The sequence below is a fragment of the Homo sapiens genome, chromosome 14 (assembly GCF_000001405.40).
Source record: "Homo sapiens chromosome 14, GRCh38.p14 Primary Assembly".
NCBI lineage: Eukaryota > Metazoa > Chordata > Mammalia > Primates > Hominidae > Homo > Homo sapiens.
Window position 1 is genome coordinate 77,964,374 of NC_000014.9, and position 17,132 is coordinate 77,981,505.

At 46.0% G+C, this 17,132-nt stretch overlaps 1 long non-coding RNA gene across 2 annotated transcripts, besides 1 other annotated feature; it reads left to right on the plus strand.

Moving 5' to 3' along the window:
• Positions 1-1,788: 1,788 nt before the first annotated feature.
• On the plus strand, positions 1,789-3,692 carry LOC105370581 (uncharacterized). 2 transcript variants are annotated; one of them, XR_944052.3, is made up of 4 exons: positions 1,789-1,902; positions 2,577-2,726; positions 3,035-3,119; positions 3,500-3,692. It is a non-coding gene; the product is annotated as an uncharacterized LOC105370581 (long non-coding RNA). The 2 variants fall into 2 exon arrangements; XR_944053.3 differs by lacking the exon at positions 2,577-2,726.
• Positions 16,256-16,774: an enhancer, noted in NCBI's record as "H3K27ac-H3K4me1 hESC enhancer chr14:78446972-78447490 (GRCh37/hg19 assembly coordinates)". NCBI's record gives its function as "activates a minimal SCP1, AML or CMV promoter by ChIP-STARR-seq in primed H9 embryonic stem cells {active_cell/tissue: H9 hESC(primed)}" and the evidence as "EXISTENCE:reporter gene assay evidence [ECO:0000049][PMID:30033119]".

Below are 17,132 nucleotides of genomic sequence, written 5' to 3' on the forward strand. Positions count from 1 at the left end.
TTGAGATGGAGTCTCGCTCTGTCACCCAGGCTGGAGTTCAGTGGCACTATCTCAGCTCACTGCAACCTTCGCCTCCTGAGTTTAAGGGATTCTCATACCTCAGCCTCCTGAGTAGCTGGGACTACAGGTGTGTGCCACCATGCCCAGCTAATTTTTGTATGTTTAGTAGAGACAAGGTTTCACCATATTGGCCAGGCTGGTCTCGCACTCCTGACCTCAGGTGAACTGTGTGCCTCAGCCTATATAACAAATTAGCAGTAACTCAGGGGCTTAAAATAGCACACACCTGTCTACAGTGTCTGTGGGTCAGGAGTTTGAGCACAGCTTAGTTGGGTCCTCTGATCAGAGAGGGTCTCACAAGGCTGCAGTCAAAGCTGACTGGATGTGCTCTTATCTGAGGTGCCAGGTTGTCTTCTGAGCTCATTCAGATTGTTGGCTGAGTTCATTTCCTTGTGGTTGTAGGATTGAGGTGTTCAGTTCCCTTTATTTTTTTGAGACAGAGTCTTGCTCTGTTGTCCAGGCTGGAATGCAGTGGCGCAAACTTGGCTCACTGCAACCTCCGCCTACTGGGGTCAAGCAATTCTCCTCTCTCAGCCTCCCGAGTAGCTGAGATTACAGGCGTGCGCCACCATGCCCAGCAAATTTTTGTATTTTTAGTAGAGACAGGATTTCACCAGGTTGGCCAGGCTGGTCTCAAACTTCCAACCTCAGGTGATCCACCTGCCTTGGCCTAAGTGCTGGGATTACAGGCATGAGCCATTGCACCCAGCTGGAAGCGTTCAGTTCCTAAATGCTGACCCCTCCATAGGCAGTTCACAGCATGGCTGCTTCTTCGAGGCCAGCAGGAGAGGGTCTCTCCAACCTCAGGAAGGACCCAGTTCCTCTCACCTGATTAAGCCAGGCCCACCCAGATAATCTCCTTTGATGAACTCCGAATCGACTGTGCAGCAAAATCTTTTCACTTTTGCTGGGTAACATAAGCCAATCACAGAGTGACATCCCATCCTATTCATAGGTTTGGCCCACATTGAAAATGAGGTGATTATACAAGATGTGTAGGGGTGGGGTGGGAGGGCAGTAGTGTGGGGATTTGGGGGGCCATCTTAGAATTCAGCCTTATCACAGGACATGTTTTCTACGTGTCTATTTCAGCCCAGCAGATATTTTTACAAACAGAAATTCCAAAATGTGTTTCTATACCTGAGTTGGTTAAATAAACTCAGAAAAGGTAGCACCATGTTGATGGTAATTCCTGACTATAGCACCATAAAGTCAATAATAATAATAGTTAGGTGCTAAGTACTTTAACATACTTTGTAAAAACGACATTCTAATTTTCACAACTACTGTACCTCATTTCACCAAGGAGGAAACTGAGGCACAGAGAGGCTAAGTACCTCGCTCTAGGAGGTGGCTGGGATGTGTGCAGTCCCACTCTGGGCTTGCTCTCCTAACTCCTGTGTCCTAAATATAGTTTAGAAAAATAGCATGCACCGGACAAACATGCATGTAAATGATTGAATGTGATGATGGTGACGGCACATTTTATGCCCATGCTTGATTTCTGTCTCTGCTCCCTCTCTCTCCCCCTTCCCTCTCTCCTGCTCTCTGACGTTAAATGCTTGGTTACTCAAGGCCGCAGTTACAGGATGTTAGGTAAACAGCCCTCCGTCCCTGCCCCCGCCCTTTTACTTTCAATACCGAGAAAATGGAACAGAACGTTAGGGAAGGAGGCTTCGCGGGCTGTGCCGGCGCCTGGCTCAGCCCCTCCCGGCGGCCACGGTCGGCTGCCCGGCTGCTCTGACCGCGAGCGGCTGGGTGTCGGTGCCCTGCTCTCCTCTGGGCGCCAGGATGTTCCTGCCCAGTGCGTGTCCAGAATAGCCGCTCAGACACCGGCTCCAGGTTCAGCCAGGCGGGGCGCGTCCCTGCCTCCCTCCCCTTTGCCTGCCACTGCCCTCCTTCTAACGAGGGCTCAGCTCCGACTACCCCAGGCCTCCGGGGACCCTCTCCGGATGCGCTCCCCGCTTTGCGCTTTGCGCTTTTTGCCTGTTCCCTGGGGTCGCGGAAGTCCCGCTTGCCCGGCCAGCGGGTACCACTCCCCTAGTCAGCCTAGGGAAGCTACACACACACACACACACACACACACACACACACACACACACACACACACACGTACACACTCTGTTCGCGTTCGCATACTATATATGTATTTTTTGAGAGTAGCTCTGTCGCCAAGGCTGGAGTGCAGTGGCGCGATCTTGGCTCACTGCAACCTCCGTCTCCTGGGTTCAAGCAATTCTCCTGCCTCAGCCTCCTGAGTAGCTGGGATTACAGGCGTCCGCTATCACGACTGGCTAATTTTTGTATTTTTAGTAGAGATGGGGTTTCACCATGTTGGTCAGGCTGGTCTCGAACTCCTGACCTCGTGATCCGCCTTCCTCGGCCTCCCAAAGTGCTGGGATTACAGCCGTGAGTCGGCCTATTTTTTGTTTCTGTAAGGAAATATGAGCTTTCCCATTTTTCACCCCGGAGAAACAAGCAGCTCTCACTTTTATTAATTTCTTCTGAGTTTACAGAAGAACTAGGTAGCCTGTTCCCACTCAGAAACTCATTCCACATGGTTTGGGTGGTCCTACCACTGCCCTCACCCGCGTCAACAAAGGAGTGGGAACCGAACTCAGGCCCTGCCCATCAGATCATCGAATTCCTCTGGCCACAGTGATTGGGTAAGGGATGATGCATGAGCTTATTTGCACCAATCAGAGACCTCCTGGAGACTTTCGTCCCCCAATTTCTGGGAAGAGGAGCTCCTTCTGGGGTTAACCTGGACTCAGGTTGCTGCTGCCTATTCTTACCCCTCTAGCTTGTGTGAGAAATGGCTTGTGTGAGAAATGGCAATAGAGGCAGAGCCCTGGTGACATCATTTGAGCTCCTGGATCCTGCTATGCCTGAAGCCTATTTATTGTTGCACTTTGGGGGTTATATAAATCAATAAGTCATGTCCCCCCACTCCCCACCCCACTTTTGTGCTTAGGTTGTGATCAGTTAGGATTCTGCACTTGTGACTGAAAAATCCTTGTACAGGAACCAACCTTCTGGAAACTTCTCCCATGTGTCAGGTACTGTTATGTACTTTAAATATCTGTTTCAATCTGCTGTCTAAGGACCTGTGTCCTAAAGAGTTTAGTCCGTATCTTGTGTGGCAGACATGATTACCTGTCTTACAAACTGGGACACAGAGGCTCAGACAAATAAGTAGATTTCTTATGAACATATAACAAGTGGCAGAGGAGACATCCTGTGCTTTCTGCCATGGCCTCTGGTAACACTCACCATTTTTGCTGTTCAATGGTATTTGGGTTCATACCACTTGGCAGCATTATTCTACTTTTTATATGAACTTACATGTGACCAAACCATCTGAATTGGAAGATCCTTGATGACAAGGACCACAACCTGTGCTCTGTTTGCTGTCCCCACTGCCATCACCATCACACAGGCCCACAGCACCTAGCACTGGATGAGACACATCACAAATCCTGGACAAACTCTTGCTGAAACCATGACATGTCGATGGCCCTTCACAGAAGACTTCACAAAAGGCTTCCCATAACCCTATTAATGGAAAAAGGTGACGTGGGCAGAGTATGCAGTTGTACCTGTTGAAATAAACATGCTCTTTGCAACGATCACAACCCAATTATTCTTTCCAGGAGCTGACCCCAGGGAGTCATTCATTCAATATCAATATCAATCCATTCTTGTTTTTTTTCCTTTTTTGGAGAGAGTGTCTCAGCCTGTTGCCCAAGCTGGAGTGCAGTTACGTGATCGTAGCAGCTCACAGCGGTCTCGTCCTCCTGGGCTCAAGTGATCCTCTTGTCTCAGCCTCCTGGATAGCTAAGACTACAGGTGTGTGTCACCATGGCCGGCTAATTTTTAAAAATGTTTTGTAGGCTGGGTGCGGTGGCTCACGCCTGTAATCCCAGCAGTTTGGGAGGCTGAGGCAGGCCGATCACGAGGTCAGGAGTTCGAGACCAGCCTGGCCAGCATGGTGAAACTCCTTCTCTACTAAAAATACAAAAACTATCCAGGCATCGTGGTGGGTGCCTGTAGTCCCAGCTACTCAGGAGATTGAAGCAGGAGAATTGCTTGAAGCTAGGAGGCGGAAGTTGCAGTGAGCGAAGATCGCGCCACTGTGTTCCAGCCTGGGCAACAGAGCGAGACTCCATCTCAAAAAAAAAAAAATTGTTTTGTAGAGATAGGGTCTCCCAACGTTACCCAGACTGGTCTCAAATTCCTGGGCTCAAGCAGTTCTCACTTGGCCTCCCAAAGTGTTAGGATTACAGGCATGAACCACCGTGCCTGGCACCATCCACTCACTATTCATCTTAAATTCAACAAATGTTTTCTGAATATTCATCACATACCAAACATATTGCAAGACTGGGATACTAAGATATGAATAAGATATGGCTCCTTCCCTCAATGATCTTGTTTGTAGTTGCCTTTTAATTACTCTGAAGCAAACTTCCCAAAGCACTGGCAAATTGCTGTTAGAACTGTTGACTATCTCCTGGATGGTCCATCATTAAGGCTCAAGCATTGTCCAGGAGAAGAACATTAGCTCTCATATTGGTCTTTATCAGTCAGCTGGGCCCATTTCAACCAACAGGACTGCCACAATGCACAACTCCAGGGAGCATCATTCACATAGACTAATGACATTCTCAGAAGTTGAACAGTGCACAGTCTACGGCTGTAAATGGCAGCCCTGAGAACACAAACAGCACCCATTAATGCTATCCCCTCACATTCACAGTCACATTTGTGGAGCACTTTACAGTTTATAAGGAATTTCACCTACATTATCTCAGTTGAACTGAGAAATTCTATTTTGTTTCCCATAATGTAGTCTCTCTTCACTGCCCTTCACCCCATGAGACTCTCTGTTGGCTCCATGAGCTCCCGGAGGCCCCTTCTCAGATGGTGATGGCCCAGCTGAACTAGCGACAATTACCAAGCACCAAGTTACATTACAGCTCTAGGCTTTCGTCTACCCTGAAGCATTTACCTGGAATTAGCAGTGGTCGCAGCTCGGCAGAGGTGACTGTGCTGGTGATTATGAACGCATTCCTTGTTTGTCTTTTCAGCCCTGAAATCCTGTCAGTGAGGAGAAGTGATAATACCATGTTATTAAGTTCTTTCTGGGTAATGTAATTCAGGAGTCAGGAGGCAGTTTGGTCATTTATGTCTCTGAAAAGCTTAGAATAATTTCCAGTGTCATTATCCCCCATTTTAAAGAGCCAGGCTCCAATATGTGAATGTGTGTATAGGCATGTACACCTAAGCACGGGCATATGGCCAGATGTGTCCATAAACCAACACAAGCTTCAACTTATTTATAGATCCGTGTATATGCACGAAACTCTGCCTTTTTAGCGTCATGGCTTCCTAAATCTAGGTTTTCAGGAATTAAGTTTATTCCTAGCCTTTTCCCTGGCATGTTGTGGAGTCTACATTTTTGCTTGCCATTATCATAATTGTTACACAAAAAGAATGAGCACACTGGTTATAAACACATCTGTGAGGTGAGTAGTGCCAGCCTTTATGGACAGCCTTTCAGTCACCCAGTTCTCTTTATAACTCCTCCTTTCTAAGTAATTTTCTTAGAGCTTCTGCTTCTCCCAGAAAAGGCCTTTCTAGCAGGCACTGGTTATGTGTTTATTTTTCCTTTAACACATTGTACTGGTAACTCAGATACTTTAGGCAGGAAAGGTATGTCTATGATATGCACTTATCTCCCTTGTTAATGGAGTTGGCACCTTGATTGTCGATTGTGGAATTTCCAAGCTGGAAGGAACCTGTGAGATTATGTGAGCCAGCTGTCTCTCTGCACAATGAAGAAAGGGATGCTTGGAGCAGGCAATAAGTAGTTCAAGGTCCTTAGAGTTAGTGGCATAGCAAGGATGAGAAACCAAGTCTGCTGCTCCTACCCCGAGAGCTCTCTCTGTTATCATGGTTCAGTCCCTTGGAAGACCGCTTTGCTTCGCTCCTGGTATGCTCTTCCTGTTTTCTTTTATGAGCATGGAGATGGTAACTGGAGACTGGACCTGGCATAACCCTCAGATTCTGGAGAGCTTTGTAGGCCATTGCAAGAGCTGGCTGTTACTATAATATCAGATTCCAATGAAGGACTGTGATCGGACATGTCACATAGTGACATGATATGACATGCTTTAAGGAAATCATTCCAACAGCTGTGTTAAGAGTAGATTTAGGTGACGAGAATGAAAGTAGGGAAGACAGTTGGAGGCTGCTACAATAAGCTGGGGACCATAGTGGGGCTGTGGACATCATGTTCTAGATGAATTTTAAAGGTAGAGCCAATGGATTGCTGAGGATTGGATGGGGAGAGAGGGGTGCTGAGATAAAGAGATGAGTCAGAGTCTTGCTAGTTTTGTGGCCAGGGTGACTGGTAAGGCGGTGCTGTGCTCACTCGGAAACACCCTCAGAGACACATCCAGAGATAACATTTAATCTGGGCATCCCTTGGCTCAGTCAAGTTGACACAAAATTAACCATCACTAGGTACTAGTAGGCATTCCAAAGAATCCTCTGGGTTCCAGATGTACTCCCTCAAGTCACCACTGAGTAGCATCAGTCAAAATTTCCCTTGACCAGGCCGGGTGCGGTGGCTCACGCCTGTAATCCCAGCACTTTGGGAGGCTGAGACGGGCAGATCACGAGGTCAGGAGATTGAGACCATCCTGGCTACCACGGTGAAACCCCGTCTCTACTAAAAATAGAAAATATTAGCCAGGTGTGGTGGCAAGCGCCTGTAGTCCCAGCTACTCGGGAGGCTGAGGCAGGAGAATGGTGTGAACCCGGGAGGCGGAGCTTGCAGTGAGCCGAGATAGCACCACTGCATTCCATCCTGGGCGACAGAGCAAGACTCAGTCTCAAAAAAAAAAAAAAAAATTTCCCTTGACAATTAAGATCAGTCAGAACCGAATTCTGCCTCCAACCTTAAAGAGGTTGGAAGAGGACTCCGAGCTCCAAATGAAAATGTAGGCCAGGCGTGGTGTCTCATGCCTGTAATCCCAGCACTTCGGGAGGCGGAGGCGGGTGGATCACATGAGGTCGGGTTACATGAGGTCGGGAGTTTGAGACCAGCCTGGTCAACATGGTGAAACCCTGTCTCTACTAAAAATACAAAAATTAGCCAGGCATGGTGGTGCATGCCTGTAATCCCAGCTACTCAGGAGGCTGAGGCAGGAGAATTGCTTGAACCCGGGAGGCGGAGGTTGCAATGAGCCATGATTGGGCCACTGCACTCCAGCCGGGTTGACAGAGTGAAACTCCCTCTCAAAAAAATAAAAAAAAGAAAATGTAGCTGCCAACACCCAGATTTTAGCCTTATGATAGCCTAAGCGGGAACCTAGCAATGCCGCGCCTGCCTTCTGACCTATAGAACTGTGAGCTAATAAGTAGGTGTTGCTTTAAGCCACCAAGTTTGTAGTAATTTTTTGCATAGCAATAGAAAACCAACGCACATTCAGAGATCAGAAAGCTATAAGAACTAAATGTTCTAAATTAGTATCATTAATAATAGGACAACTAGACATTATGTGCCTGCTGATGTGATATGAAATCCAATAGGAAGTTCATAGCATCATTTAAAGTATTTGATCAATTGCATTAAATCTGAATTAAACCAAGTTTTTAGATTACATGACTATATGCATTTATCAAAACAAATAAAACTGTAAACTAAAAAGGATGAAGTTTACCATGCCTAAGTTTTACCTTAGTAAACCTGGCTTTAAAAAAAACAAGCCATTAGATCTACCTCAATTTGTAGAAGATACTAATACTGCTTAAATGAGAGCATGAGAAAATAGATGTATTTAGAATGTGGGATATGCTACATGACAGTGGGCCTGATGTCTTCAAAGACTCAATGTCATTAAAAAAATGATGAAGGGGGATTGTCCTATATTAGGCAAGACTTAAGAGACATAATAAATAAACTCACTGTATGAAACTTATTGGATTCTGGTTCCAAAGAAAAGCTATAAAAGACATTTTTAGGACAATTGTAGAAATTTGAATATAAAGTGAGTTTTGGATGATATTAGGGGACTATTACTATTTTTGTTAGGTATAATTCTGGTATTGTTAATTGGAATTTTTTCTCTAGGTTTTGGAGATACATGTTGAAGTATTTAGGGGTGAAGTGTCATGATGTTTTTAATTTACTAAGAAATGATTCAGTTACAAGGCAAAAAATGGCCAAATATTAACAATGGCTGAGACCAGGTGGATGGTACATGAGTGTTCATTGTATTCTTCTCTTTTGTTTCCTGAATGCTAAAATGGAAATTCCATTAAATCAAACAAACAAACAAACAAAAAACAGGTGAAAGCTGCTGCAGGATCCTCATAGCTGATTTACAGCCTATAGCTCCAAAGTAGGTGATGAACTGAGGAATATGGAGCCCAGTTGCCACTCCACAATCTCAGGTCTGCTGAAGCCAGCCACACCTACTACTGCTGCTGTGGATGAAGGGCTTCTGCCTCCCTTCCACCTTCCAAATCATGCATGAGTGACTGACCAGACTGTACGTAGAACCCTGCTGGCCAATGGCATCTAACACAGGGTAATGGCGCTTAAGCTGCTAAGCCCCTCACTTGCCTCTAGAAACCTCTCCCATGGCCTTGGGAGGGCCTAGCAAAGTATCACATGGTCGTATGCTTTTGTAACCATCTTTGCAAGTTGAAAGTATATTTCAACTGCAACTATTAAGACTGCTGTCTGTTTCTACCCTAATTTTCCCTGTATCGTACTTTCCTTATGTTGGATTGTATTGGAAGAGCCATGGGAATTTTTGGGATCCAGCTAAGAGGAAGTTGAGCTGGGATGCATTTAGCCGGTGTTTGGCGGGTGTTTCTGTAATTTGCGGTTATTTGCTAGTCATTCTCTCATAGGAATGGTTCTATGAGTACCTCTACTGCTTACAGTGCCAGCTCACCTGGCTTTATGACACAAAAGCGCAGGGCGAGAGGTCAGATCACAAGAAGAATGTGTTCTATGTACAGCATCAGAAGTATGTTGGTAGTGGAGGAGGAAAGAGATTAAAATGCATGATCTGGAAACCAGTCTGTGTAATATTCTTCCACTTATCAGTTGTGTGAAATTCTAAGTAGACAATTTGCTACTCATTGATGCCTAGTCAAAATGGAAGCTTTTTCCTGTGAGAAATATGCCCAGTAGTTTAGCTTATACACTTATAAATATACCAGTTTTTTAAATGGGCATCATGAATTATAGAGTTTATCAGAATTCTTATATTTGTAAGGCACAAACCTGTCACGATACTATAAACAATGAATGTCTCATATGTTTTATACGTAACAGCTGTCAATAATAAAAATAATAAGCTATGCTAGAGGAAAACATCAATTGTCTTTCTATTTCTTCTCCAGAAGATAATATTGCAAAATCTTGTCCTGTGAAAAAGTGATCAAAGATAATATAACCCCCAAAGTGTGGGAAAAAACCCTATTATAAAGGTATATTGAGCAGCTGAATAAATATAACATTATTTTTCCTGGATTTTGTGATGTTTGTAGTCTTACAGCTTTTTAAAATTTACAATATGTTGTGATTTTTTTTCTCATTCCATATAACTATTTGCAATTTTGTATTTTGTTATTCGGTTGGTGCAAAAACTCCAATTACTTTTGCACCAACCTAATACTTAAAAAAGGCTTCTGCAGTTGTATAAACTTTGGATAGAGAATGGCAGGGCAAAAGGATAGAATTCTTGTCCCTCATGACATTGGGAAGCCTCATGGCAGCCCTGGATTGCCTACCTCCAGACTCCTTTTATTTGAGGGAGAAATAAACCTCTTTCTTGTTCAAGTGACTGTTATCTTGCCTTTTCTGTTGTGAGCAACCGAACAGAATCCTAACTGATATATGTATTTGTCCTTTGACACGGCAATACCACTTCCAGGAATTTGCCCTGCAGGTATTCGGGCACATAGGCAAAATGATGTATGGTCAAGGTCATTCATTGCAGCAAAAGATGAGAAACAATCTATATGTCCATCCATGGGGACAGGTTAAATAAATTATGCATATCCACAGTGAAATAATATGCATCATATATTAGGAGGAAGCTTGTTGTATTGATACAGAATTATCTCTAATGCATATTGTTAAAAGAAAAAGTAAATGCAAAATAGTGTGAATGCCGTGCTAATATATATATATAGTGTTGTATTCCTCTCTCTTATTTCCTGCATGCTAAAATGGAAATTCCATTAAATCAAACAAACAAACCAAAAATAGGTGAAAGCTGCTGCAGGACCCACATAGCTAATTTACAGTCTATAGCTCCAAAGTCGGTGATGAATTGTGGAATACGGAGCCCAGTGGCCACTCCACAAACTCATATCTGCTGAAGCCAGCCTCACCCTCTACTGCTGCAGTGGAAAAAGGGCTTCTGCCTCCCTTCCACCTTCCAAATCATGCACAACTGATTGATCAGACTGTATGTAGAACCCTGCTGGCCAATGGTGTCTACCACAGGGTAATGGCGCTTAAGCTGCTAAGCCCCTCACTTGCCTCTAGAAACCTCTCCCAAGGCCTTGGGAGGGCCTAGCAAAGTATCACATGGTCATGTGCTTTTGTAACCATCTTTGCAAAAGTTTATTTCAACTGCAACTATGAAGACTGCTGTCTGTTTCTACTCTGATTTTCCCTGTGTCATACTTTCCTTATGTTGGATGGTATTGGAAGAGCCATGGGAATTGAGCCAAGCACATATATATGTGTGTGTGTGTGTGTGTGTGTGTGTGTGTATGTGTATATATCTATATATATATCTATATATCTATATATCTATATCTATATATATATATATATGCTTGAATATGCATTAAACATCTCTGGAAGGACCTGCAGGAATTTAGTGACATTGGTTGCCTCTTGGGGCAAGTGAATGGCTGAGGACAGGACTGGGAGGAGGAGTTTTCACTTTTGAATAAACGGTGAACTTTTAATCTATTTTAAAGTAAAAGTAAAATGAAAACCAGAGAACATTTTTACATTTAATACCTGTAGAGCAAAACCCATTATTTTCTTTTAAAAAAAACCCTTCTTTGTATTTTTAAATTTATTTTTCATAGAGACGAGGTCTTGCCATGTTGGCCAGGCTGGTCTCAAACTCCTGGCCTCAAGTGACCCTCCTGTCTTGGCCTCCCAAAATGTTGGGATTGTAGGCAGGAGCCACTGCACCGAGCCTCTCTTTTTAGATTAAAGAATAAATAAATAAGAATCCCTTAACTCACCTACCTGTGAAGATGGATGCCCTATGTGTGGCTTTCCCAGGACAATCTGTTTATGCCTCATCTTCTGGTGTAATTATTAATAGTGCCTCACTTCTCTCTCAGCAGTTGGATGATAAACTATCTGGTTACCCTACCTGTTAAATACATCACAGCCCATGAGAAGTCCAGTCCAGCCAGTGATGAAACAGATGCCTGATTCTTTGCCTGATTGCTGGATGCAGTAGTGCCTTGAGCTTAGGGACCCTTGTATGGAGAAAAAAATGTGTGTTTTCAATAATAAATGGATGTCAGTGAGGTGGGCAATGATCACACCAAGAGAGGTACATGGGAACTGGAAAATACTGAAGATACACAAGTTTCACCTTTGCTATCTCAGGTCAATGCTGGGGCATTGCTTACTGAAAGGAATGGTAGATGAATCACTGTGTTATTTAGCTGATTGCTTTCTCTCTCTCTCTCTCTTTTGCTGTTTAATGCATGCACAAATGTTACATGCACTTATGTCATGACTGAACTCTGCAGAACTTACTGTGCCACGTTGGCATTCTGCATTTGCCTCTTGACTCTGAACTCTTGTCTGAGTTTTCCTGTGTCCCAGCAACAGTCACATTTACTAAATGTTTGCTGAATGAATGCATGAACCCCATGGAGACCTAGGCTGACATCTGGTCCTCTCTTCTGCACAGAGTCTGACTGTCATGGGTATCATCATCTTTGAGACTGTAATCTTTATGAAGGCAGAGACTAGGTTTACTTGAATGAGCAAAGTAACCCCAATGCAGAGTACTATGTCTGCTACATAGCAAGTGCTAATAAATATCAGTTCAGTAAATAAGTGGGTGAATAAATGAATGAATGAATGAATAAATGTTTGCATCAGTCACCTGAGGACCAATTGCACACTAGTCATTCCCTTTGCAAGTCTACCTGGCCCTGGCATGTAATGACAGAATATAGAGGAAGATTTCATGGAAGATGTAGGGTCAGGGACCTTCTTGAATAAATACAAAGTGCCTTACCCACTGTCGGGGCTTCCTATATAGCTCAGCAAAGAGCCTTCTGTGCCTGCAGTTTTTTTTTTTAGAGCTTCTCTTTCCAACTGCCACATGCATGATGGATGATGTTCCCATGTCAGGGAATATACTCCCGTGGGGATACTCAAATTTTGATAAAGTCTAAAAATACTGGGAGAAAGAAAATGCTATACTACTTTCTAAATGCCACAACTATTAATAATACACCTGTCATAATTACTCACTTGGATGTGCCATAATCAAAATGGGTTGTGGGTTATGCAGTTACCAGTGAACTAGCTGTCATGCCATCCTCTTGCTTCCACTCAAGAATACGTGTCAAATCCAAGTGACTGTGGGGTTTTAGAGAGGATCTTGAATTCACTCTAGTTTTCCAAAAAGCAGCTAATGCCCAAATTTTAGTTCCTTCGCTGTTAATAGTAACAAATTACAACTGGGACACTCTAAGGCAGAGAACCACCCATTCTTTGGTTAGTATTGCCTCTTTAGACATCCACTTTAAAACTGTAAATGCTCTAAAGAAATACACCCTACAGGACACACCACTAACTCCCTATCCACTTCTCTGCATAACAATGGGTGTGTGTGTGTGTGTGTGTGTGTGGGTGTGTGTGTGTAAAAGAGAGACAGAGAGAGCAAGAGAGTCAGTCTGAGAGAGGGGAGAGAAGTGGGGGTAGGGTTGCTAGGAAGGAGATGGAGCTTGATTTCTAATACTTTCACCTATGAACTGTGTGGCCTTGGGCAAGTCACTTAACCTCACTAAGCCTCAGTTTCCTCATAAGTAAATGGGGCTGATAATAAAAGTACCTACCTCATAAGATTGTTGCAATAAAACCAATATAGTGCTTACCTTAGTTCTTGGCACATACTAAGCCTTCAATACATGTGGGCTATTTTTTTTTTCTGTATGTTTGCTCATTCTTCTGATACACTGAAGACAAAGTATAAGAAGACTGGTTGGGACACTTCCTAGTCGTCATTGACAATCTGCCATTCAGTTTGGGCTGAGGCTTATTTCTGGGACAAAATCCAAAAGAATGGGCAGAACCTTGTACGGTGTCAATGAGGGAGGCTTGCTTTTATTGTCCAAGTCACATGTGGTATGCACAGACTCTCCTGGGGACACTGAGCTTTTTTGAGGAGCCCTAAATGTGGGAATAGGGCAAGAGTTTGAGAGGAGTTGTTGGAATCCAAAGCATAAGTTCTAGAAAGCAGGAGTCTCCCTAGAACAGTCTTTTGTGGGGAGCAAGAAAGGAGAAAGTGTTAGGTTCCAAAGAGAGGGGTTTGCCATCCTATGAGTCACTGATTGCTGGTGCATAGCCTGGAAGCCCTCTCCCCTGGAACAATGAGCTTCAAATGGCTAAGGGCAGTGGCTTGAGAGGCTGTGCCTATAGCCCTATCTCAGTCCATTCCGGCTGATATAACCAATTACCATAGACTGGGGGGCTTAAACACCAAACATTTACTTCTTACAGTTCTGGAGGCTGGGAAATCTGAGCTCAGGATACCAGCACGGTTGGGTTGTGGTAAGGGCCCTCTTCCAGGCTGCAGACAGCTGCCTTGTATCCTCACATGGCAGAAAGAGAGCTCACTAGCTCCATGGGGCTGCTTATGAGGGCACTAATCCCATTCATGAAGGCTCCACCTATGTGACCTATTACCTCCTGAAGGCCCCATCTCCAAATACCATCACACTGGGACTGGGGCTTCAACACATGAATTTTGGGAGACACAAACATTCAGTCCACTGCAAGCCTACAATGGACCACCTTGAGGCTCAGATTAGCAAGCCATGAGCTTAGAGTTTGGAAGCTTGTCACTAATCGTAGGCCCTTCACTAGGCCAAGGGGCCTGTAGCCTTGGTCTTCTCACCTGTGAAATGAGAGAATGGATGGTCTCTGAGCGTCCTTCCATTTCTGACATTCTGTGGCTGGGAGATGGTGAAGGAGAGAGATACGCTTTTGATGACCTGACCTTTCTGCATCTTCCTGTTTCTCCTTCTTGCCACTATTTCCAGGCCCTAGGGACATTCCTGATGCTACCAGATGGTCTAGGACTCCAAAATTTGTGGTCATCTCAGCCTTAGTGCTGTCCAAGTACTGGTCATTGTGAAATTTTCCTCCTTGACTGCCTCTCCTTATCCACTCATGAGGATGAGTTTCTCACTTCTCGTCTCATCTTTCAGTCACGACAATGGTGGCATTAGTTCGTTCATTATCATTCCAATGTTTTCTGAGCCCTAATGGGGCACCAAGCATCATGCTAAGGGCAGAGGGTACAGTGGGCATTGGGTTACAGAGGCATAGACCTGTGCTGATGGAGTCCGTATGGTGGTGACAGAATCATCCGGTGACAGATACGACGAGCAAGGACTGAGCTCTGTGGGGGTAGTTATTAGGGGATGTTAGATGGGGGAGGGGCAGGACAGGTACAATGACTTTGAGGATGGGATGCTGAAGCTGAGACTTAATGGTAGATGGACACCCTCAGTTCCATGAGGGCAAAGATTTTTGACTCTTTTTTGCTGCTGTATCCCAGTGCCTTGAACAGTTGGCACTCCATGAATAGTTGCTGAATGAAAGAATACATTGAGTCGCACAACTGAAGTCCCTGTGGCATGAAAGAAGCTGAGATAAGGCCAGTGTCTCTGCAAGGCTGTCTTCTGGAGGCTCAAAGCAGCAAAGTTGAAGAGACGAGGCTGGGTAGGGGGCTGGCCTCGTGCGGATTTCCCCAAACGCAGACACTGAGACACGGAGTGGGGTGCAGGTGGTTGTTATTTGGGAAGCACAAGTGAGGAAATGTGAGAAAGGAGGAGAGAAGACAGAAATGCCAGTAAATAAAGGGCAGATTAATGATGGGTTGCCGCTGTGGGCACCTGGGGCTGAAGCCCACTTTGTGGAACGTGAGGGATAAGATGGGGTATTTATCTATTGACTCTTGCTCCTGTGGGTTGAGGAGCGTCCCTGGGGGTGTTAAATCCCTAACCCTTGTGGGCTGCCCTGCTTAGAGGCTGAACAAGCTCCTGTGGTGCTGGAAAACGCCCTCAAGTGGAGGAGCACTAGAGGTGGGAGCTGCCCCCTAGGGGTCTCAGTAATCCTCCGCCGCAGCTGCAGATGAGCTCAGAAGAGGGTGGAGGAGGTCTGGGGCGGGCATCAACAGTGGCTGCTGCAGAGGTAAGCAGGGCACCAAACAAGAGAGGGTGGTGGCTTTGATTATGGTGGTGGCATTGGACGGGGAGAGAAGTACACAGATTTCAGGTACTTTTTGGATGTGGGAGGTGATCAACAATAAAGAGTCCTCCAATAAAGAGAAAGCCCTTTCTCCTCCAGCCCCCACTTTTATTCCACAAATATTTATTGCTGTGGTTTGTGGTTGGGCTTCCTGGGAAGCCAACTGAGACAGAGTTTGTTGCGCAGGCTGTTTGAGGAGTTCGGGACAGATTTAAGAGTGCACAAAGGGAGACCATGCAACAGCCTCAGCTAACCCCACAGAACGCTCGGGAGCTAGACGTGCTCCTCAAAGTTGTTCGGAATTGGAAACAGATGCTGGACCTCCATCAGTCCAACCTGGGGAGGATGCCGTGACTTGGGCCAGGCAGCTCTCTTCAGCGGAGGCAACGCTATTATAGCGTCCACCACAATGCTGAAGGATCTTTTGTATGTCAGGTACTGTTGTAGGTGCTGGGGGTGTTAGAAGGGGCCAGGTGAGAGAGAGGCAATAAACAAACAAATATGTACCATCAGGTAGTGCGAAGTGCAAAGCAGAAGACAAAACAGGGTTAGTTGAATGATGGCTGGACTGGGAGAAGGAAGGTGGGGGTGGTAGTGAGGGAGGCTTAGAAGACAAGAGCAACAGGACCCTGACAGTTTAGGGGCGGGGCATCCTCTCTGCACTGGGCTCCCTGGGAACTGCCCCTTGTGCGTGGTCCCATCTTTTGGCCACAGTTGCTGGCCTCTTTGCAGGAGGTAGAGGCAGCCCCTCTTCTCCCTGAATAAATTTGCTTTGGTGTTGACCTGCAGCCTGGGGTTTCAGGAGTTAGGAAATAGTGCGACAGGCGGAGCTGGAGGTTAGCGCGTCTTCGAGCTGTCGCCTTCCACCCAGAACAGCTGGCCCTGCCTCGGGGCTGACTGTTAACCCTAGGAGGTGGGTGGATTGGCAGGGAGGTCGGCTGGGCCCAAGTCAAGGCCGGGCTGTGTGTGCGTGTGTGTGTGCGCGTGCGTGTTCCTGTGTCCGCGCGCACGCGCTCCTGCGTACTCGGCTGCCACGCGCTTCCTCCGCCCCTTTCACCTGGGCAGGTGCCTGCAGGGGCTATCGCGCCGCCCCAGATTGGGATCCGGGGAGGGCAGAGGCTCCCTCAGCCAGGCCTGGGCTCCGCCTGCTGCCCTCCCCCAGCCCAGGCCCTTGTGGTTGCCAATGAAGGCCGAGAGCCCTAGCTGCGGGGGCAGTCCCGCTGGGTGTCTGCGCCGTCCACGGCCCGGGAGCGCAGGAGCAGCCTCCACCTGGGCAAAGGCTCGGCGGACCGGCGGGCAAGCGGCCCTGGAACAAACTCAGCCCGCCTGCGGTTCCCAGGAGCAGCGGCTCCCGGGCGGTCTCGCCGCTCTCGGCAGGGCAGGGCGCAGTCCAGGGGCCCCTAGAAACTCGCCTTGTTCTCAGCCCACGAGGAATTTAGCATTGATAAAGCCTCAAAAAAAAAAAAAAAAAAAAAAAAAAAGCAACCAATTCCGCCCCTCCGTCGCCCCC